The sequence below is a fragment of the Homo sapiens genome, chromosome 2, assembly GCF_000001405.40.
Source record: "Homo sapiens chromosome 2, GRCh38.p14 Primary Assembly".
In the NCBI taxonomy this organism is placed as follows: Eukaryota; Metazoa; Chordata; class Mammalia; order Primates; family Hominidae; genus Homo; species Homo sapiens.
In genome coordinates this window covers 58,214,561-58,238,503 of record NC_000002.12, presented here as the reverse complement: position 1 = coordinate 58,238,503, position 23,943 = coordinate 58,214,561, and the positions used below count along the sequence as shown (strand labels likewise).

Sequence of the window (23,943 nt, the reverse complement as noted above, 5' to 3'; positions counted from 1 at the left end):
ACAATAATCCCTTATTATCCTTTTAATGTCTTTAGGATCTGTAATGATGCTCTCTATGTTGGTTATCTTTTGCTGCTATTTACTTCAAACCTTAGTGGCTTAAAACAAAAACAATTATTGTCTCACTGTTTCTGTGGATTTGAAATTTGCGAACAACTTGGATGGTAGTTCTTGATCAAAATCTCTCATGATCTTGCAATCAAGATATTTGCCAAGACTTTGATGGTCTAAAACAGGGTGTCCAATCTTTTGGCTTCCCTGGGTCACATTGGAAGAAGAAGAATTGTCTTGGGCACACATAAAATACACTAATGATAGCTGATAAGCTAAAAAAAAATCACAAAAAATCCCATAATGTTTTAAGAAAGTTTATTAATTTGTGTTGGGCTGCATTCAGAGCTGTCCTGGGCTGCCAGTTGGTCAAGCTAGAGGTGGAGGATTTGCTTCCAAGATTGCTCATTCACATAGCTATTGGCCATGAGGCCTCAGTTTGTTACTGCTCTTAACAGGAGGCCTTAGTTCCTCACCACATGGATCTTTATAGTGTTGCTTGACTGTTATCACACATGGCAGCTAGCTTCTCCTGAGTGTATGATACAACAGAGAGATCAATAAAGATGCACATTCTCTTTAATCTCTTAGTCTCTGAAGTCACACACATTTACTTCTGCTTTATTGTGTTAGATGCAAGTTTCTTAGTCTATATTCAAAAGGAGGGAAATTAGGCACCAACTCCTAGAGGTAGGAGTGTCAAATAATTTATGGATATACGTTAAAAATAGCTTTCATCCTCATATCTGATGTAGGTAATTTATGTCTCATTTTTTCCCCCGATACATCTAGATAGAGGTTTATAAATTTTACTGATTTCTTCAAAGAACCTGTCTTTAATTTCTTCAATTTTTTTCTATTATTTTTATGTTTCTATATGATAGTTTTCTGATCTTAAGTTTCCTGATTTCTTTAGATGGAAGATTATTGATATGAGATCTTTCTTCTATTCTAGTACAGATATTTAGTGCTTTAAATTTTCTTTTGAATACTGGTTTAGCTATATCACACACATTTTGGTGTGCTGTAGTTTTGTTTTTATTCAGTTCCAAATGCCTTTTAATTTCTTCTTTGATCTATGGCTCACTTAGAATTATGATTATCTTTCTCAATATTAAGGATTTTCTAGATATCTTTTTGTTATTGATTTATAATTTAGTTTCATTTTGGTCACAGAATATAACTTGTATGATTTAAATTTTTAAAATATTTATTGAGCCTTAATTTTATGACCAATAATATAGTCTATCCTGGTGAATATACTGTGTGTACTCTAAGAGAATGACTATTCTGTTGCTATTGGGTAGAGTATTATATAAATGCCAGTTAGGTCAAATTGGTTCAGAGTGCTACCCAGGCCCTTATTGGGTAGCACTGTGCTCACTGACTTTTTTGTCTGCTTTTTCTATCAGTTAGTGAGAGGGGGTGTTGAAATCTCCAACGATCTTTGTTGATTTTTCAATTTCTATTTAATTTCTATCAGTTTTGCTTCATATATTTTGAAGTTCTGTTATTAGGTCCATAAACTTTTAGAATTGTTAAGCACTCTTTATGAATTGACTCCTTTAGGATTATGAAATGACCTTTTTTATCTTTAGTAATAATGTTTTCTCTGAAATCTGTATTTTCCAATATTAACATATAGATTGCATCTTTCTTTTGATTGATGTTACCATGGTTTATCTTTACTTCTTTATTTTAAACTTATTTGTGTTTTAATATTTAGTGTGTTTCTTCTGTGCTTTGCTTTGTTATGCAATATGATAGTCATTGCCTTTTACTTGGGGGTGCTTCGACTATTTACATTTAACGTGGTTATTCATATGGTTGGATTTAAATCTACTCTTGCTGTGTGTTTTCTGTTTGTCTTACATATTTTTAATTGTTTTGGTATTTTTCTGTATTTTATATTATTGGAATTCTTTTTTGTAATTCTGTTTTATCTCCTTTGCCAGTTTATTGGCTGTGTGTGTGTGTGTTTTTTTTTTAACTAGTTGCTTAAAGGGTTTATAATATACATATTAAATCTATCATGGTCTGCCTTAACGTAATATTAGGATTCCATTTTTTATGCACTATTGGTTTATCAACTATATAATTTTGTCACTTTTGATACTGTAAAGATGTTACTTCACTGTCTTGCACTGTTTTCTACGAGAAATCTCTGCTCTTTTCTTTGTTTCTCTGTAAATAGAATATTTTTTTCCTCTGGCTGCTTTTAAGATTTTTCTTTTTGGTCATTGGTTTCAGTCACTTTGATGTGTGTTGTACCTTGGTGTAGCTTTTTTCATGTTTTTCCTCCGTAAGGTCTGTGGAGCTTCTTGGATCTCTGAGTATATATTTTCATTTAATTTGGAAAAAACATCTGCCATTATTTTTTCTTTCTTTCTTTTTTTTTTTTTGTTCCTCCTTTTCTGTCCTCTGTGTTGGGCACTCCAAATACATGCATTTAGGTCACTTTAAGTTGTCACAACTCACTCATGGTCTGTTCATTTTTTTTTCCCTCAATGTCTTTCTCTTTATTTGGGATATGTCTTCAGGTATACTAATACCTTCTTTTGTAAGGTGGAATCTGCTGTTGATACTATCTAGCATATTTTTTAAAAATCTCAAACATTATGTTTTTTGAGGGAGTCTTTATTTACATCTTTCCTGTCTCTATTTAGTACGCTCATGTTTTCCTTTACCTTCTTGAACGTATGAAATTTAATTGTTTTAATTTTTTAAATCAGGTTTATCATCTGTGCCATTTTTATGTCTCTCTTGATTTTTCTCTTCATTGTGGGTATTGCCTTGCTTCTTTGCAGGAAATATATGTGCTTGGTATATCTTGATTGGATGCTAGACATAATGAATGCTACCTGTTGCATGCTAGATATTTTTGTTCTCTAAGTATTCTTGAGATTTGTTGTGAGCTACAGTTAAATTACTTGGAAACAGTTTGATCTTTCCAAGTAATTTTAAGCTTTAAGCTTTTAAGCATTGCTAGGTAGACCCAGAGCAGACTTTAGTCTAAGGTAGTTAGTCTCTACAAGTGAAGCAACACCTTCTGAGCACTCTATTTAATGGCTCTTACATTGCAAGGTTTCCACTCTGGCTGGTTGGAACATGGCTATACCCAGCCTTGTATGAACTTTGAGATTGTTTTGCAGACTGTTCCTGTACGTTCCCACCTTTGGGTGTTTTCCTCATATCCATGGAGCAAGCAGTACTCAGCTGAAGACTCCTTGTCAGGAATCCTCTGAAATTCGCTGGCGTTTCTCTGTGTATATTTCTCTACTCTCCATGCATTTCTCTCCTGCTTGGTACTATACCTTGCGAATTGTACAATTGTTGGCCTCCCCTTGATCACATGTTTCTTCTCACATCAGGGAGAATATTATGCTCTTATTTGTTTGTCCATCCCTATCTTGCAGCCTGAAAATACTCCCATCATAGAACCAGACAATTTTAGGCATTTTCACATTTGTTTCCCTTATTTCAAGGATCACTGTCCTCGCTGCCTATTGTTTAATGTCTGAAAATCATTGTTTCATATGTTTTGTCCAATTTTTAAATAAGGAGGGAAGATAAATCCTGTCCTTTTAACTCCATAATAGCTAGAAGCAGTTCTCTTCAGTTTCTTAACATTTTCTATTTCATTCTTGCTTCATTTTTTAATTTGCTTTAAGAAGTCTGTTTCCAATTATATTCTGTTTTCTATATATTTGATCTTTTACCTAGAGACTCTGGACTTTTTTCTTATTTTGAAAATCTGTTGATTAAGATATATCTCAAGAGTTGATCATTGTGAATCACTTTTATCATGTGGCCACTTATCCCTTTTGGTATGTGGAACTCCAGGAAGTGTACTTGGATTATATTTTTAAATTTTTTTTTCTACTATTTTATTTTTCTTTCCAAGATCTCCAATTATATGTACTCTGGACTTTTTTGGGTCTGTGTTCCACTTCAACTCCTTTTCTCTGATGGTCTTTAATTTTTTTCTCATTTGGTAATTTTCTTGCTTTTTCTTTGCCCTTTATGACATTTGTATTTCATTTTGTTCTTCCTTGGACTCTTTTTAAATTTATTCCTTCACTTTCATATAATTTTGTGTTTTTCTTTATTTTCATTTCACCCTGCGTTTATTCAGCTCATTCATTTCTTTTCATTTTTTAAAATACAATTTCTCATTTTAGTTTTAAAATGTCTGAATCTGGATACAAATGCTCACTTATTTCATTTATTATTATAATTTGTTTATGGTTTCTGGGTTTTGTTTGCATGGAGTCTGTTATCACCTGAAATCTTGTGAGTCTCTTTTTGTTTCTTTGTCTCATAGTAGCTTTGCATTGATGAAGACAGTATCTTTGTATTCATGGACGTTTTGGCTGTTTGCAATAGTTTATAAAATTACTAGTTTAAGAATACCCTCTTCTGTTGGGTATTTTATTTATTGTACAATTTATTTAATGGATGAAATGTTGGCGAGTGCTGGGTGGGAAGGAGTTGTTTTTTTATTTACTCGTATAAGAGCCTAAGTTTCCCACTTTTCTTTTTCCTCCTAATACCCAGTTTCCAAAAGGTGTCTCTACCTATCTTTTCTCCTATCTTCTGCCTCTAAAGCATTCTTTCCCAGGACTGGCTCCTTGACTTTTGTGTTAATGCACATTAAGTCTTCTCTTTGTAGGTCAGTGTTCTGATTTACCAGAGCTTGTTACTATTTTTTTTTACACTTACTTAGTCCTCCCAGTCTCTCTCCCATGCATTTTTTTTCCTGACCTTCCTAGCACTCTAAAAAGAGTTGCTGTGGGAGTCCTAGAGTAGGTTCTATTGGAAAGTGCTTCATATTTTTCTTCCTGTAGGTAATTTGAGGTTTATCGTGTACCCTGTCTTCTGGCTGAAAACATGGGATTTTTGTGGTTTTATTTATTCTTAATATGGTAATTGATGTAGCTTTTTGGTATGATATGTGGGGAGATGGAGGTTTAGGTAACTGTTAGTATTTCTGTTGCCTGAAAGCCTGGAAAATCTGGCTTTTTTGAGAACAATTAATATTTCTAGATACTTTAACTAAAAAGCTAATTTTGGACATTTTCTTGAATCAGGAAAGTATCGTGGCATGTGACATGTTATTTGACCTTTTAAAATGGCTGGGCTTTGCAAATAAGGGACTTTGGAATTTTATTCTTTCAGATAACAGCACAGATTTCTATATAGAATAGTTCTTCTATTTTTCGTGTAAATTAAGAATTCCAAATTGTTCTTACACCTTTGTGTGGGATGTCTATAATGTTAGGTTAAAGTTACTACATAATACCTTTTAGTGCTTTAATGAAACAGTGAATTATTGTTACTTGACCTTTTGAAAAGGTCAGTAGTACATTTTGTTTCATTTTTTTAAAGGACATTTAAATGTAATGAAAGTCAGAACTGTAATATTACCATGAAAGTAAAGGTTATAGGGTACATTTAATTGTGTTCCTCTGTTTTTGAAACTGCTTTGAGGGAGACTGTGTTAAAATTCCACATGGTAATTGTTTTTTGAGAATTTTATTACTTTTTCATTTTATTCTGTTAGAGTAAAAGATTACATTTCTGTTTGTCTTTTTCTGCTATTTTTGCTCAAGTTTCCTGTGTATTATCCTATTTAAGTTATAAAGTTTAAACTACTTACCCATTCACTTTTCCAAGAAAGTAAAATGGAATAAATGTCTCAGAGGTCTTTCTTCTCTTAGAAAGACTCTTGAGTAAAATTCTGTTTGTTCAAATATATAGTTAATATGTTACTGATTTCAAAAAAGTTAGAGGCCCACTAATGGGAGAATTAAATATACTCTGATTTATGCAAGTATTTCACTTATGTCTGTATAGATTGTGTAACTAAATATATTTTCATTTTATTAAAATTTAGAAAGTAAGCTGAAAACGACTATATAATGTTATATATCCTTATTTTATATTGTGATGTTTTTCTTCCATTAAAGCAATTTGAAGGAATTTCTTTTTTCATAAATTTATTTACTAAGAAATAACACTGAAATTTCTTCTATGGGCCTGGTTAGCAATTTTGTAATATTTCTTGTGTTTGTGAGTGACTTTCTCTTTAAAAACAAAGTCTTATCTGAGTGTTTTGATTTCCCAGTAACTACAAAGTTTTTGTAAGACAGTTTTGAGTTATTTTCCCTCAAATGCAATATTGTGTTGCATATATTTTAACAAGTATAAAGATGTGGATAAAATTGATACCTTTTAGAAAATAAAGGAAAACATTGTCTTTTCTTTGTGATTCTGTTTAACTTCTCAGCATTAAGTGAAAGATAAAAATTTGAGTGATCCTTTTCAATATTTTCCACAGGGAAGAGACTTCCACCTTAGGATAGTGTTGCCTGAAGATTTACAACTGAAGAATGCAAGGTGATATGGTGTTTAGTTATAAACGTGCATTTTTGCATTTTGGTGGGACAGGCAGTACATTTGGTATAAATTGATTCTAGTGACTAGAGTTTTGCCTAAAATGCTTATTAGTCATTTGCCCCAAAAGAAACATTTCTGATTTTTCCAAACCAATGCAGCATTTGTAAATATTTACCTGTTACTAAAGTGCTTTTAAACATTAGTTCTCTCATTTTTAAAAAAATATTTAAAGCAGTAAACAGCCATTGTGTACACTTCACTAACAAATACTGAACAGGTATATAAAGGGAGAACAAAAGGATTAGAAAACTTTTTTTCCAACTTTTGACTGATATTATTAATGTGTATATTCATTATATGAGAAGAGTCACATCAGTTCAGTCCTGGCTTAAATTAGGTACCAACATTGAGTGCTGGTAGATACAACTAGTCAGGATATGAGACTGAAAATTTAGGTACCACCCCAAATCTCAATTCTGCCTCTAAATATTTCTGGAGAAGAATGGAGGAAAAGGAATCCAGAGATATTTATGAGTAGAATTGAGAGGATTTTGTGACCAACAGAAGTGTAGTTAAGAGGGAAAAAGGAATAGAGGATGCTTTTCAAATTCCCGGCTCAGATCTCTAAGCTAGAGAAGAGGTCACAGATGGAAAAGTAGAAGAGAGATTGTTTTAAGGCATATTTGGTGTGAAATACCAAGAGGAGCTATTTAGTAGGTAGTAATGTAGTGGTGTGGAAATAGAGTGTGAGACCTGGAGTGCAGATGTGTGTGGAAGTTACAACAGATGAAGGATTTGAGACCTTGATTATGAATAGACTTTTTGGTGCTGTGTCTAGCGGGGTAGAAGAGAAAGCCAGTGACAAGACCTTGGGGCGTACCAACATTTAAAGGACTGGTCACTAAAGAGGAACTTACAAGGAGACTAAGGATTGACCAGAGAAGAGGAAAACTTGGGCAGCAGAGTCTTTCAAGCCAAATAAAGAGAGGCTTAAGCAAGGCATGGTTAGCAATGCTGAGGATTACAAAGAGATAGGTTAGATGCAAGTAAGTTTTGTGTGGTGGCAGAAGCCATTTGTGTTGGATGAGTGGGAGGAAAGTATAAAGTATTTTGAAGAAAAAGAGGTGGTTAGAGAATGGTATGCATTCAAGAAGGAGTTATGATGTTCTTTAAAGATATATATTTGAGCAAGTTAATTCATTAAGGAGAAAAAAACTAGCAGAACATAAATTAAGGATACCACAATAAAGGGATAATTAATTGAAGTCACCAAGTTGGTAGCAGGGGAGAGAAAGCACATTTTGAGCAGGGGTTACCAATGGACATTTGAATGAACTACTCTGCCACTAAGAGAGGAGATAGGGATGGTTATGGGGATTTGAAGACCAAGAATGGAGAGAGTTGTGACAGTTTGAAAAGGCCATGTTGGGGAAAACTCAGAGAGGCTTCCTACTTGTAGGTAACTAAAAGTAATTCCTTAGAAGAGTTACTTAATAGTATCGGGAGCACAACAGAGGTCAGCCAGTAAGTGGATGAACATTAACTTATCACTTCTTATACAATTAATTAGAAGTATGTATCTTTCTAGCCAGGCTTGGTGGTGGGTGTCTGTAGTCCCAGCTACTTGAGAGGCTGAGGCGGGAGGGTTTCTTGAGCCTAGGAGTTCAGGTTGCAGTCAGCTATTCTACTGCACTCCAGCCAGCCTGAGTGACAGAGCGAGATCCTGTCTCTAAAAAATAAAAAATAAAAATAAAATGTATCCTTTTAGTTATATTAATCGGGAATTTGAAGATAATATTGCTACACATGCTTTTTCAAATACATGTTTGATACATTATATTTGATGATATATTGTTATCAAAACTGTTGGTTTTATTTAACCTATCTTGGAAAAGAATCTACTTCAGTGGAAAACTTTGCTTCGGATGTGTTAAAGTTAAAAAACAAGATGTACTGTTTGCATGTCATTTACTGATTGCAGTTATTTATATTTTGAAATAAAATTAGTACCAACAGTTTGAAGACAAGACTTTGAACAGTATCAGTGGTAAAAATTTTATTAACTTGTCCAAATTATGTTTGTCATTCTTTTGTATGTACATGCATGTTTGTGTTAGCATACAAATAAGTTTTTAATTCTGAACAATGAATAAACCATTTTGTCTCATTAAAATTTTAGATTATTATGTAGTTGGCAGCTGAGAACAATACTTAGTGGATACCATCGAATAGTACAACAGGTAAGTCCTTTTTAAAAGGTTTATGTTTTCAGTGAAGATAAGAAATTACTAAATTTATTGTTCTTTAAAGACCTGCTTTGCACAATGTTGTAACAAACTGGTTTAATAGTTGTTAAGTTTTGTAGGTTTCATCTCTGTGTGTTTTTAAATCTCAGTGTCCTCAGGAGATCTCCAGGCAGCCTTTGTGTTGAAATCGATTTCCATCTTTGAGACTTTAGGTTCTTCAAATGCATTCACCCTTATCCATATCCATCACTTCTTCAGTGATTTTTCTTCTGAGACTGAATGGTGGTGATAGGGAAAAAAAATCAGACCCATTTAGAGCTGTGGGATATCTGTGGCAAAAATGGGATTTTAGTCCTAGATTAGCAACAGAAAAGATGTGGCAGAAATAATTTAGGATCATGTGTACTTGCATAATGAGGGGAGATAAATTAAAGGCTGCTTAGTGTGTTAATAGGCAGGATTAATTTCTTTATTCTTAATGTTTAGGTTCCTCTACCTGAAAATTCCTTTAAAGATTAGAAAAAAAAATCAGTTACTGAAGCAAAATAATGACATAATATAATTCTTCTTTTAGAAAAATAGTTTTTAGAATTGCCTTTCTTTTTATGCTTTATGCATTTGTGTGTTTTTTTCCTGATTTTCTATATTTCTGTGTCTTAAAGGCAGGTTATTATCTATGATAACTGACAATCACAGTAACTCTCCCATAAAGCATTAAAGCTGCAAAGAAGTATAGGAGATAAACTATTTGATTTATAGAATGAAGGTTATCATCCTGGCAATATAATTACAGAAGTTTTTTTAAGGATATGTTCAAATTATTTCTGTTTTCTTTCCATCCCTGTCTCCATCCCTTTGACTATTTATATTGTACACTAAAATTTAAGAAATGCATCTGTTGACATATTGAAATAGCATGGGAAAAAATGGTTTATGTAGTCTAATATTAAGATCTATTACTCTGTTTTTCACCAGCAAGTTATCAAGAGGATTCCTAGAAAAAAATCCCAATTATTTATCTTTCCTTGCCCCCCAATTGGTTAGGTAGAACCCAGTGTTAAAGTCTTCTTTTTATTTTACAGTCCCAGTGAATATTACTATTCTTTTCTTGTATCATTTTTAATTTTAGTAAATATGGGCCAGGGAGTCAACAGACTTTTTCTGTAAAGAACCAGATAATAAGTTTTTCTGGCTTAGTAAGCCATAAGATCTCTGTTGCAGCTACTCAATTCTGCCGTTATAGCAACCATAGACAAGAGGTAAGTGAATGTGTATGGCTACATGCCAATAAAACTTTGTTTACAAAAACAGTATTGAGCTGGATTTGGCCTCTGGACTTTAGTTTCCAGACCCTGTCATTTATTGATCATCTGTAATAAACTAAGGGGAAAATGCAATGTAGAAGAAGGGATAGTCAAGGATTTGCTCTACACAGACCCACTCAAAGCTATGTTAAGATGTGAATCATATGTGTTCATGCATTGTTGAAAACAATGTAAAACTTGAGAATATTTTTTTCTGTAGTTATTTTAAGAATGAAGGATTTCTAGGAAATGGAATAGTAACTCTTAAATATTTATTGTACTTTAGAGATTATTTCCTTTTTTGCCATTTTATTATAACAGGTTTTACTTTAATGAATGACTGTCTCCATTTTGACTAATATGGATTAGTTGTGAGAGGACAAAAATCACAATTATAGGTAGTTTTTAAGGTCAAGGGAAAAATAAAAAAAATGACCATATTGTTAATTAATAATTGTTAATTTATTGCTGCCACTAGATTTTAAAAATTACATAGAGTTGCCTGATTTTTATATTTTATACTCCTCTTCCCACTCACATCACTCCTATACCTCTTCTTTCTCTTTTTTTTTCTCTTCCTCCTCCTCCTCCTCTTCTTTCTCTTCTTCTTTAAAAAAAGTAATGATGAGGTTGTTAGATTTGCTAGACATAGTAGTGATACAGAAGGGCGGCAGGGAAGTGCTGAGTAGAGAAAGATGGGTCCCTGGTGAGGGCTCCACCCCCGGGCCTGTGCCCACTGACCTAGGTGAGGACAGGCATTTCCCAAGACCACCCTGGCCTGCCATACCTCCATCTTGTGCCTATAAAAACCCGAGACCCTAGCAGGCACACACACACACAAGTGGCTGGACGTTGAGAGAAATATATCGGTGGAGGAACACACAAGTGGCTGGACATCGAGAGGACATCGAGAGCATGTCAAGAGCACACCGATAGACTTCAGCATGCCGGCAGGCCATTGACCGGCAGAATGACGTGGAGTTCGACCAGGGTGGTTGGAGGAGAGCCTGGGCTGCTGAGCAACCCGACGCCAGGGGAAAACCGTCTCCCTTCTGTCTCCCACATCTACTGAGAGCTACTTGCACTTAATAAAACCTTGCACTCATTCTCCAAGCCCACATGTGATCCAATTTTTCCAGTACACCAAGGCAGGAACCACGGGATACAGAAAGTTCTTTGTCCTTGCAATAAGGCAGGGGTCTAATTGAGCTGACTAACACAAGCTGCCTATGGATGGCTAAACTAAAAAAGCACCTTGTAACACACACCCACTGGGCTTTCAGTAGCTGTAAACATTCACCCCTAGACACTGCTGTGGGGTTGGAGCTCCACAGCCTGCCCGTCTGTATGCTCCCCTAGAGGTTTATGCAGCGGGGCACTGAAGAAGCAAGCCACACTCCCATCGCATGCCCTGCAAGGGGGACAAGGGATTCAGTAGTAAACAGTGCTCAAGAAACAGAGTAGTGTGAGGTTTTAAGTGACATTCTAACACAGTTTAATATATCTCAGCAAATTAGATTTGAGGACATTAATTACTGTTTCAAAATGAAATTGGTAGGAGTAGTAAAGTTGATGACCGATACTTCATTTCTTATAGTTTTCAGATGTAGATATAGCTAATCTTTTTTTCACATTCACTTGGGCCTACATTTTTTTACAGTTTTAGTGGATAGAATATTTATTGTGCAAATGAAATTAATTGGAAATATTTTGATCTAGAGAATGCAGCACTCTCCTGATCTAATGAGCTTTATGATGGAGTTGAAGATGCTTTTGGTAAGAATTTTTTTTTTTTCTGACACTGTTACCATACTGCAAGTCTTGATTTCTTTTTTGTAACTCCTTTAAAAACTGACATTATTAGAATTTGTCTTCTTAACTCTCAGTCATTTGATGTTTTCTTTTACTGTGTACATAAATATAGATGACGCATTTCTTGAACTGCATGAGGGACATAACTGTTCGAAGGAACCTCTTTGATTGTATTATAAACTAGGTATTCTTGACACTAGTGTTGGGCAGGTGGTGAAGAAATAAAATGTACTCCTGGCCTATCAGCAGAGAGTTTAACATCTAAGAAGAGATTAGGTAGTCCTACTTAAAGATATAATATGATGTATAAATAATTTTGTGTATAGCTACAGATATCTGAAAAACTTATTAGGCTTCATTTTATGTATACTGTTACATATGTACTGTTTAATCAGTGTTGCATAAAATACTTGATTATTCAGTTTATCCTGTAGACATTTTATTATTTTCTTAAAACCCAAGTTCATTTTATTACCCAAGTTTTCAACATAAACAAAAGAAGAGGGAAGATTATAGTGAATACTGCTGGGCCTGACCAAATTTTAACATTTTGCCAATCTTATTTCCTCTTCTACTTTTTTAGAAGAAAGACACCATAGTATTTTAAAGGAAATTCTGGATATTGTATGTATCCCTCTGTAAATATGTCAGTGTGTATCTCTTTAACAGCTAAGTGCTTTTTATCTGTTTTTAAATATATTATTATAACCTCAATAAAGTTAATAATTTCTTATAGCTGCTTTGTTTGTATTAGTATGCAAACAAGGTCCTCACATTATATTTAGTTGATAAGTCTCTTAAGCCTTATATAAGACTTATAAGGTACTTATGTATAACATCATCTCTCTCCTCTTTACCTCACCCTTTTTATTCATGCCATGTATTTGTTGAATAAAACAAATTAGGTGTCCTATAAAATCTTCTACATTCTGGATTTGGCTTGTAAGATATTCATGGTTTATCTTTTAACATATTCTACTTTCTTTGTAATCTGGCAGTTAGATCTAGAGGCTTCAGCAGATTTGGATTCATTTGTTCTTATGAGATTACTTGGTGCTCTGTATTTATTATATTACATGAGGATCCACGTGGTATCTGATGGTTCCTTGGTTCCTGTTTTAGTAAATTTAAGATTGATCAATAGGTTTAGATCCATTCAATATAAAGTTTCCCATCAGACTGTCACCTAATGATTTTAGCCTCTAATAACAATCATTGCCTGTATCTAATGTTTCATTAGGATTTACAAATGGTAATTTTAAAAATTCCATCATCTGCATTTATTAGTTGAAAATCTTCTGTAGAGAACTTCTCATCAGTTGTTTGGTTAATTTGAGGTACAGCTTATACTGGAGAGACTGGATAAGTGCTTGTTTCTTTTCCTTTTAAAACAGAAACCAATTTTTAGAATAATGAGTTGGTGCCTAGCAACTGTCACAGGGATCTAAAGTGTTTTTTTTTTTAAAGTATCTTTATGAACTCATAGATTTTTATATATTTAATTAATTTTTTTATTGTAGTCATTTTCTTTTTGATGCTTAAATTGTCCCATTTTTTTGGTCAGCACAAGTCCCTTCATATTGGCTCTTTATTTAATATAACCCAAGCTTGTTTGCCTTCTGATACCAGTTGCCCCAGGTTCATTTATTCATTTTATTCCGTAACTGTAATCAGCCATTTCTCCAAAGAATCATGATTTCTTTGTGGGAAATAGTATTTGGATGCCTCAATCTGGAAACTTGAGTGTGCATTGCTGTTACTTGTAGGTTTTTTCAGTGGACAAAACTGAGAAAAAATACTTTTTGGAAAGAATATAATTATGAGTTTGTATTGATATTTACAATTCAAATTGGCATTATAGAATTTTTACTTGTTTGCTTGTATCACTTTTACTCTGAAAATGCTGTTTTCTAATGTTAACATCATTGTAGTATGGTTTTTTGTTATGTTCTACTTGTTATATTTCACTTATGCTTTTCCTGTCTATGTGTTGTTAGTTTATATAAAAATTACAATACTAATATTGCTAACAATGGAAAGTTTTGATATTTCTTTGTGATCCTTGTTGAGACCATTTTATTCCTAGCAGCAGCTACTACATATTGATAACTTAGTTGCTAGGTTGTTTTCTGGAGTCCTTTTTTAATGCTAATAAGAACCTTCTAAGGTAGGACTTTGATTAAATGTGTGAGATTAGAATAATAGTTTAAAATTAATTTCTAAAGTTTGAATTTTGATTTATGAGTTCATAAATCCTAATTAATAAGGGTTATCAAACTTGATTACAAATTACATCAAAGGCCTTAATGTAATAACCTTAAAAAGGTAAAGTGAACAAGTGAAGCATATTTGGTTTACATCTCCTTGACATTGGAGAAAAGTTTGCAACATTTATTTTATCTTTTTATTATAATTTTAATAAACAATACAAATACAAGGAGAGACTAAGGGAACCAGAGTAAAAGTATAGATATCATGTCCCATTAAACTCTTCTTATCAAAAATAACTTCATTAAATTGTAAGTCACAGCTCTCTTGGCCATGTAATTTTGGAGAAACACTTATTAGTTTAAAACTAAAATAAAATTTTGAGATCTCTGATTTACAATATCTATTTAGTATATTTATTCAATTTCTGAATAAAAATGAAATCCTGTATTTTAGCTTTCTTCAGAAATTACGGACAAATTTGGTGATTTTATTGCTCATTTAAGATAGTATACCTAAAGATATAAGAATTATTAGTGTTAGGCTGTATTGTAAGTAATAGGGTTCCTATACTATAATCACCAATAAATATGTTGAGAGTGATGCTCACATGAAATCAGTAGTTATTGAACTTATTCAGAAAATGTTGTAAATCTTCCATGGAGTTTCCTAGTAATTACTGCATATAGTGGGAGTTCAGTATATATTTAACAAGTGAACAATTACCTATATTTAAAATAATCCTAAGTGGTAGGTTATTTTATTTCTATTTTAGAGCTGAGCCACTGAAGCCTAAGGCCTCAAAATAGGAATTGTTAAAGTCAGTATTTAAAACTTCTGTTTGTGAAGCCTTTCCGCTATGTACCTTTGCCTCTTTTCTGTGAAGAATATGTTGCTTCTCTGCTTTTGCCTTTTTAGCTGTTACGGTTCTACAGTAGGAGTAACTTACCTGACTCAGAATAGAAGGTAGAGTGTATAAATGTCATAAACCTAAGATTGAAAAGTGTTTTTACTATTATCCAGGTTTATTTTTACCTTCAATTTTTGTGAATAGCAATAATTAATATTTCAGAATAAAAACAAATCTTGAAAGAAGTACTATACTATATTAATGCATTTTATTTAATAACTAGTAGAGCACAATCTTCATAGTATTAGGTTGGTGCACAACCTAAATACGAATTTATTTTGGTGGACCATCAGTCTATTTTTAGGCAACATTAGTCATTTATATTATAAAAAAGGCAGCATATACTTTGTCTTCTAGGAGCTTACCCTCTAATTAAATCCATATTGATATTCTCAGCTGTACGGATCTGTTTTCCCAGTTGTTTTTTTTTTTTCATCATAAAGCAGATTCAGAACGAAATTGAAGTAGTTCCCGTTAATAGTTTTGGTTTTGAAGTGCTGTTTTGTAATATCTGTTCTTTCTAATATGATCTCAATTTGATAGTGTCCTATCCTGGTTAAAAAAAATTGATATATACTTAAAAAATAAGATTAAACATATACTTAAAAGAATAAAAATTACAACCTTTTATTAGGATTATATTTTTCAGAAGTGTTTATAATTTTCAACTTGTCCCTATCTACTTTCGTTATTTATTGTAGCTGATTTATTTAATTAATTAATTATTTACTTTTTGTAATACCGTTTGATACTTCAGACCATATGAACATCTAAGTAATTTGTAGATAGATTTATTTTTACTTTCCAAATAAGCTGTCTATCTAGGTTGGTAACTTCAAAATAATTGGTAATTTTAGCTTCAGCAATTCTAGTGATGTTTATGTGTCTTGTAAAAAATTTTAGTTTTGGTTGGGAGAACATAAACATTTTAAAGCCTTCATAGATAGGCCTAGCAAGGAACGGGACTGTAATCTAGCCAGATGGATGGCATAATACTCCGACTTACCTGCTTGAAGAATAGTACAGAGTATAAGTCAGTGAAAAAAATTAGCATGTGGATATTTGTTCTGATAATGAGTTTGTTTGTTAGGATGTGGTTCATAATGGTATACAAATATGTCAGTTTAGGTAATGTACTTAGAGTTCAGGCCTTTCTTTAGAGGTACTTTTTAAAAAATGTATATATCAAACATCATATTCATGGGAATAGAGCCATAGTGAAGCCTTGAGGATGAATTTAATAAAAATTTTTTTTTTATCTCCGATAGGCATAATAGTCCAGGAGAATATTAAAATCTCAAGTTATTTTCATGGCATAAAAATTGACATTTTGCATGACCTTCAGTGCAGTCCTTTAACTTTTTCTTGTCTCTTTTTCATGAGCAGGGGAATGAGTCAGCCAGATTTCCGTAAAAAAACAGGCACTTTTATTAGGCACTAAGAAGATAATGAAATTATGTTTTGCAATCAGGTATTAACAGTTCATTGTCTTGCGTTCCACAGCTAATTCAGGTTTTCTTCTTTTAAACAGGAAGTTGCCTTAAAGAATAGACAAGAGCTGTATGCACTACCTCCTCCTCCCCAGTTCTACTCAAGCCTTATTGAAGAGATAGGAACTCTTGGTTGGGATAAGTATGTCTGTTTTAAAATATGTTTTAAATGCCTTTGTTTTATATATTTTAACTTAATGTATTTCTAGTTTTAGCAGTTTATACCTGATTTTAGTCAAAGTGTTTAATTGTAACTAGAGTATTTGATCCTTATTGTTGCTGTGAATTAAAGAGAGGGATATCATCATAAAAAATTGCCTTACAAAGTAAAATGCTAAATATAATTTGGAAAAAATGACATTTTTATGTACACAGTAAGATGTTACCGTAATAGATACTTTCACTGAACATACAACTGTATTCTAAATTTTCCATGTTTGAAGAGTAATGCTGAGACACATGAAAGAGACTGGAAAAATTGCAGTATTTCTGGAATAATTGTTATTTTTGGTTAATATACAATTTGGCATGTCTAAATTTACATATATATAACATTATAAGTGCTTTTGTAATTTGAGTGGTAAATTTTAGCAACTAGGGTTTGTAAGAATCATCCAGCTTTCTTTGAAAAAAATGATTTTTTTTTTAAAACTGATGCATAAAGAAACTTAAGTTCAGTAAACGTGTATGCAAGTTGTTAAAACTTAATCCACATACCACCTGGAAAAAGTATGTGATGATTTGTTTGCTATTCAGTTTCTGAATTTAGCTTCCTTCTTAGTGTGGATACTTTGAAACATTACATTTATTATTAAGTGTATTATAACCTTTCTACTTTGAGCTAAAGCACCAGTAAAAATATGCCAATTTTTAGTTCTTATCACTTTTTTTTTTTTGAGACCGAGTCTCGCTCTGTTGCCTAGGCTGATTGCAAGCTCCGCCTCCCGGGTTCACGCCATTCCCCTGCCTCAGCCTCCCGAGTAGCTGGGACTACAGGCGCCTGCCACCACGACCGGCTAATTTTTTGTATTTTTAGTAGAGACGGGGTTTCACCGTGTTAGCCAGGATCGGTCTCGATCTCCTGACCTCGTGATCCGCCCGCCTCAGCCTCCCAAAGTGCTGGGATTACAGGCGTGAGCCACCACGCCCGGCAATTCTTATCACTTCTTAACCGTTATCAATAGTATTTTAGTATTCATTTATTATTTCCATTTAGATTGCCCTATTACTAAGATAAATCGAGGGCTAACTTAGGTACAATGTGGAAGGAATGTGCAATTTTTCACCACTAAGTTTTTCTTAATATGTTTTAAACATCTTATTATTCATCTGTTTTTTAGCTATTTTCTATGAGTTGGCCTTTTGATAACTAACCTAAAAAGAACCAGAAAATCAAATCGCCATTTAAAAGAGAACAAGGAACATATCTTAAGTGCAGAATATATGTCCTTTAATATATTTTATACCATTACCTGATAACTAAAGAAAAACTAAATAGAGACTTAAACATATTTTAGAGTTCCAAATTGTTCCCATGTAAATTTGTTTCTAGAGGTGATAAAAATGCACTGTGATTATTACAGAAATAAGAATTATTTTCGTTGCCTTTGCCTTCTACTTCCCTTTATATTCCTTAAAAGGCTTTTATTTAGAACAGTTTCTCTTCTTATGTGTAGATCAATTTTTTCCCTTTTGTTTTAACCACTAAAATTTGACTGAGTGGGCCATACCTCTTTTGGTGCACCTATGTGCAGAGATAGGTTAGCCATTCCTTCAGTCATGACTTTATGTAGACTTAATTTTTTATGAATACTTCTTTACCTTACCGTTTTCCTTACCGCCTCCCTGATTAAGAGTCAAAGTGTGTACGATCTGTACTTAAGAGCCAAGTTATTTAAATCCTGGTCTTGATAAAAATTACAGCCTCGGATTTCAACTGTTAAAACCTTACTAAAATCGCGATTGCATGTAATAGTGTTTCACTGCAGATGGACTGCTTAAAGTCTCTGTAATCTTATTTTATATGTTTTCTCAGTTTTACCCATGGATATTAGAACCGAGCTACTTTATTTTGCTCTCTTGTATAATTGCTCTTGAGGATGCCACTGACTTGGATTAAAGGATGTTGTATGAAATAGTCCTAAGATATGCAGTAGGGATTTTATGTTTGGATGTCTTCCATTGTATGATAATAGCACTATCTTTATGAGAAGCCATGAAAGAAGTTTTATTCTGTTTCAGATGCTAGAAAAGTCATGCTTTGCCTGACTATCCAACCTGCCACTTAATGAATAATGTGAACTATGTAATTGACTATGTTCTCTTTGACTTGGCCTCTAGGAAATTTAGAGTCAAATTTTTGGCACACTTTTTAGAGCCATGCTGGATATAGGATTTATATTTCTGTATGCTAATCTTACCTGACTTTTGTTCTCCTGTGATTCTTCTCTTCATATCAAGGGTACATGTTATCTCTGTGACTCATCACTGTTGATCTTGATCTTGATTACCTGGTGAGGTAGTATTTGTCGGGTTTCTGCACCGTAAAGTTACTGTTTTTTTCTCTCTCTCCACACTTTACTCTTTGGAAGTCACTATATGTAGCTCACACTTCAGGAGTGGGCAGTTACGCTCACACCTCCTTTAGGGCACAGTATTTACACAGATTTGGAATTTTTCTGCTCAGATTTTGTTCCCTCTCATTTATTTGTTTTTTCAGTCATTTATTTGAAATACTATGGACTCATGGATATTTATTTTATACTTTGGGTTATAATCAAATACTATTTTATTTTCTTGCTCAATTTGTTCTAGCTTTGGCCATTGAGAGCTCTTTCAGTTGGCTCCTGTGTCCTTTTGACAGGCCTCATCATTGTGGATATATATATATATATATATATATATATATATATTTTTTTTTTTTTTTTTTTTTTTTTTTTTTTTAGCATGTATTTACTTTCTGGCACTGAAAGAAATTTTGTATATTTCCTGCCCTTTCCTAGAATCAGCCATTTTTCCAAGGAGTCCTGGTTGCTTTTATTTGTGAGTGGTATTAGAAACTAGGATGTGGGCACTATGGGTGCTTGTTGCTATTGGTGTGTTGTTGTTTCTAGGCCTTCTTAGCTGAAAAATGGAAAACAAATGTGTTTATACTAACTCGTGTACATACTTGTAAATGTTTTTGTATATAACCATTTATATCTGTATTAAGGTAAACATGATTTTATACTGATGTCTACAACTCCAGTCCATTACCATATGTAGTTTTGTAGCCCACTTGCTTGGTATATCTGAAATCTCATACTCCAACAGGGAGAAACCGAGCTCCCATTATCTGTTATCCATTTACTTAATTGTTCAGTTGCAGTATACGTGCAGAGCACTATCAGAATTATTAATCTGTACCTCCATGGGTGACAACTTTATCAACTATACAATGCTTATTTTTATAGTTTTTTTTTTTTTGCCTTTATAGGCTTCACTCATTTTCAGTTACTTAGGTTAGAACCATTTCCTCCACCCACTTCAATGTACTTCTTTCCCATATTTGTAACACAGATTGTTTTGTCACATTCTCTGTTTCATCCTACGTTCATTTTAAAAAATGATTTTAGGATCTATAGTGATGCTGCCTTTTTCTTTCCACATGAGTTTTTTGTGCCTTTTTAATTTTTCTTAATCAGTTTTGCAAGAGCCATATCAATTATTTAAGTTTTTTCAAAGACCCAACTTTTAGCGTTGTTAATTTTCTCTGTTGTATATTTTTTTATCATTAATATCTGCTTATTAAGAATTTAATTTTTTTAGATTTGCTTCCTTTGTAATTTGTTGAGATGGATATGTAGGTCATTGATTTTTTTCCAGTTTATCTTACTTTATTATATATTAATTTAAGGCTGTAAATTTGTAAGCAATTTTAGCTTGATCCCGTAAGTTTTGATGTTATATTTCTATTACTATCAGTTAAAAATATTAATTTTCATTGTGATTTCTTTTGACTTATTTAGTATATCTCTTAATTTTCAAACAACTGGAGATTTTTGGGTTATTGAGTTCCAGTTTAAGTCTACTTTTGTCAGAAATCATCCTTTTAATTATCTCAATACTTTGAAGTTTACTGAGGCTTGCTTTATGACCCAGCACCTTGTCAATTTTGGTATGTGTTCTATTTCCACTTAAGAAGAGTATGTAATCTCTTGTTGGGTACAGTGCTTTGCTTTTATTCATTCCTCACATTTATTAATTATGTGTGTCAGATATCCAATATGTTTAATGATTTATTTTTTTTTTTTGTCCGCTTGTCCTGAGAGCTCTGGAGAGAGCTGTGTTAAATTCTCCCAATATGATTGTGAATTTTTGGAATTGTTTTTGTTCCTCAAAATTTTGCTTTATGTCTATTTGCAGTCATGTTATTGGGTACATACAGATTTATAATTGCTATATCTTCCTTGTTGGTTTTCCCTTTTGTTATTAGGACATGTTTCTTTTCATCTCTAGAAATATTCTTGTCTTAATGTCTACTTTGTTATAACTACACAAGCTAATTAGTTACATATTTTAAAAACTGCTCTTTACCATTTGCATTTTTTTAAAACAGATTTTAATGCTGTATTGAAATTCTTCCTCTTTTTCTCTATTTTCTTTCATAGTTTTAAAATATTTTTCTTGCTGGCAGCCACCAGAAACTGGAAGAGGCAAGGAATAGATTCTCTCCTAGAGCCTCCAGAGGGAGCACATCTTTGCTGACACCTTGATTTTTGCCCAGTGAACAGATGTGGAACCCCTGGCCTCCAGAACTATGAGAGAATAAATTCCTCTTGTTTTAGCCAAACATATATATGTGTGTGTGTGTGTGTGTGTGTGTGTGTATATATATATATATATATATATATATATATATATATATATATATATATAAAATATATAAATATATATATAAATCTATATATAAAAATATATATATATGTAATGTGTGTGTGTGTGTATTTTTTTCAAAGTCCTGTATTCTGGATCCCTTTCTGTTGTTTTTATTTCTCTTTATTTCAGTCATACAGAGTCTGCAATTCCTTATTCCCCTCCTTAGTCTCTGCTGCCAAGGGTTAAATAATTTTTTAAAAATATTTAAAAAGCTGTAATAAAATAACATCAAAGGAAATGGGAAAAAGGATTGGGGGGTCAGGAATCATGAAGGATGGTAGAGAAGCGAGCCTCTTCTCCTCACCCGCTTTACCCCCGTGCTTGGATTCCAACCTGGGCGGTAAGGAGAACTACCCCACATCTCTAGGTACATCCCAGTTGTAGGTGAGGTCAGAGGTCAAGGTATGAAGGTACCTGTGTGTGAATGGGAAGGTGGACAGTGTGCATTCTGTTTTCACTTTTTTGTGTATGGTTTATTGTCATATGATCTTATATTTTGGCATCCCTAATACTTTTTGAAAACTAAAGGGTTTTTCTCTACTTTTCTTTATTTTCATAACTGATTCAATACAGAATTGAAATGTTCTGTAACAAAAAATGTAAAATCTTAAATCTTGTCTCTGCTCAATAAGGTAACTATTCTTTCTTTCAAAAGAACTGGTGAAAGGAGATAAATGAGGAAACTGGCTTAATTTGGAGGCATACTAGTTAGTGTACCTTTTCTCATTGCCCCTGCTGCATTTGCCCTTGGCTATTCAGACTTCAGTGCTATGTAGTGCTATGTTTACTGTTGGATATTGCACATAAAATAGTTTAGAGGCCCCAGATGATATTATTTTCTTCTGTACAGGGTTTAGCTTTTCTCTTCCTGGGAAGATAGACTGGGAACAGATTGGCAAAGGGCCCAAGTGGGTTCAGGATGGGTTGTAGTTTTCATAGAGGTCAGTCTACCTCTGATTGCTGCCCTTCCTGTCTCAAGCTATAACCCTTTAGAGCTTCCAAGCAAGAGCCAGGTATATTCATTGGGATTTCCCCCCTGGTAGATCCTAAACTCTAACCTTTGTGTCTCCACAAGACCTCTCAATTACAGTTTGGGGTCCATTTTTGACAAAGCTCTATCACTTTTTGTTAGCATTGCTTTTAGGAGCAGTCTTTCAAGAGTTCCCACAGAGATCCTGGGGTATTCACTGAGACTTTGTCTCACTGGTAGGCCCTGAATTCCAATTAATTTCTCCTTGTATTATGAACTTTCTAAATCTTGTTTTTCATTGCCTTTCTGCTTGACTTTTTATCCTCTTATTCCCTACAGTTTAAGGATTTATCAGAAGTTTTGAGGGAATATTGGCAGAATGTTAGGCCAGGTTCTGGGCCTACCTTTCCCCAGATTCTGGCCTTTCCAGTCTGTTATTTTTCTCTCTCTATCCTCAAGAGATTGGCGGAAATGATGCTTTTTTTTTTTTTTGCCACTTAATAGCAGCTCTCAATCTGGGCTCTTTGCCCAGATCCTTCTTCTCTTGCCCTGTGCCAGAATTGATAAATATATTGAGGAAAATGGCTTCAGAATGTTGGCTTACTTCACTTCTGTTCCCTCTTCTTTAGGACTTTGGCCCTTCAAGGCCTGGTCAGTTTAGCAATTCTTTGATGCTTTCAATTTTTTTCCCCCATTTTCTTTTTATCAGCCTACTTTAGTTGTTCACTGTAGAAGTGTTGGTCTTTAGCAAGCTATTCCATTTAGGCCAGAAATAGATGTTACATATAATTGTAAGTGTACTATATTATGATATTGAGGACTGGTTGATATTTATTCATGAGATTAGGCTTTATTTATTAAGACATTAGTCTTGAGTAGGATTTGGGATGGTTGGAGCCTTTTAAATAAAATTAAGCATAACAATGGTGAGGAGAGACAGGGAAGACAAGCAAAAAGTTGAGATGCCCTAGCAGCAGTTCCTGCTGAGGTTATGATTAGTTTTGAGGCATTGATGTCATGGACCTAGTCATTCTTTAGGTATAGATTGATGGAATAAAGAAATATTATTTTGACTTATCTTCAGATGCTTAATGTTAATATTTGTTTTTTAGAGCATAGTTGGAAATGTAGAAAGGGTTTGTCAAGGACAGAGGAAATGTTCTAGTTTTATTTCTGTTGTATTGAGATGGTGAGTTTGAGGCAGCCTACCTCAGTGGATCTGACATGGTTGAGAGAAGTGCAATAAGAAAAATCAGTTGAAGCGTTAAGGATGTGATATGAGATTTTTGAATCACTCATTTTTTTACCCTGCTAATAATATTTATGGACTTCCTATAATGTAAAGCACTAAGGATACATAAGGCAAGACTTAAGATTCCTCATGGGCCAGGTGTGGTGGCTCACACCTGTAATCCCAGTACTTTGGGGGGCTGAGGTGGGGCAGATCACTTGAGCTCAGGAGTTTGAGACCAACCTGGGCAACATGGTGAAACCCCGTGTCTACAAAATACAAAAATAAATAAATAAATAAATTAGGTGTGGTGGTACGCACCTAGCTTCTCGGGAGGCTGAGGTGGGAGGATCACTTGAGCCTGGGTAGGTCGAGGCTGCAGGGAGCTGAGATCACACCACTGCA

General features: G+C 33.6%; 1 protein-coding gene across 19 annotated transcripts in view; it reads left to right on the top strand.

Annotated features, from left to right (window-relative positions):
• Positions 1-23,943, top strand: part of FANCL (FA complementation group L) — an 82,138-nt gene that overhangs the window by 2,877 nt on the left and 55,318 nt on the right. For 11 of the 19 annotated variants that reach the window (NR_164659.2, XR_007077528.1, XM_011532939.4 and 8 more), the window contains exons 2-5: positions 6,392-6,450; positions 8,630-8,690; positions 11,720-11,776; positions 16,462-16,562. The exons of the other annotated variants lie outside the window; for them this stretch is intronic. Coding sequence is in view for 9 of the 11 variants with exons in the window: in XM_011532939.4 (XP_011531241.1) it covers positions 6,392-6,450; positions 8,630-8,690; positions 11,720-11,776; positions 16,462-16,562 (278 nt within the window). In the remaining 2 variants the exon portion in view is untranslated. The remainder of the gene's footprint in view (positions 1-6,391; positions 6,451-8,629; positions 8,691-11,719; positions 11,777-16,461; positions 16,563-23,943) is intronic. 19 annotated transcript variants of the gene reach the window in all.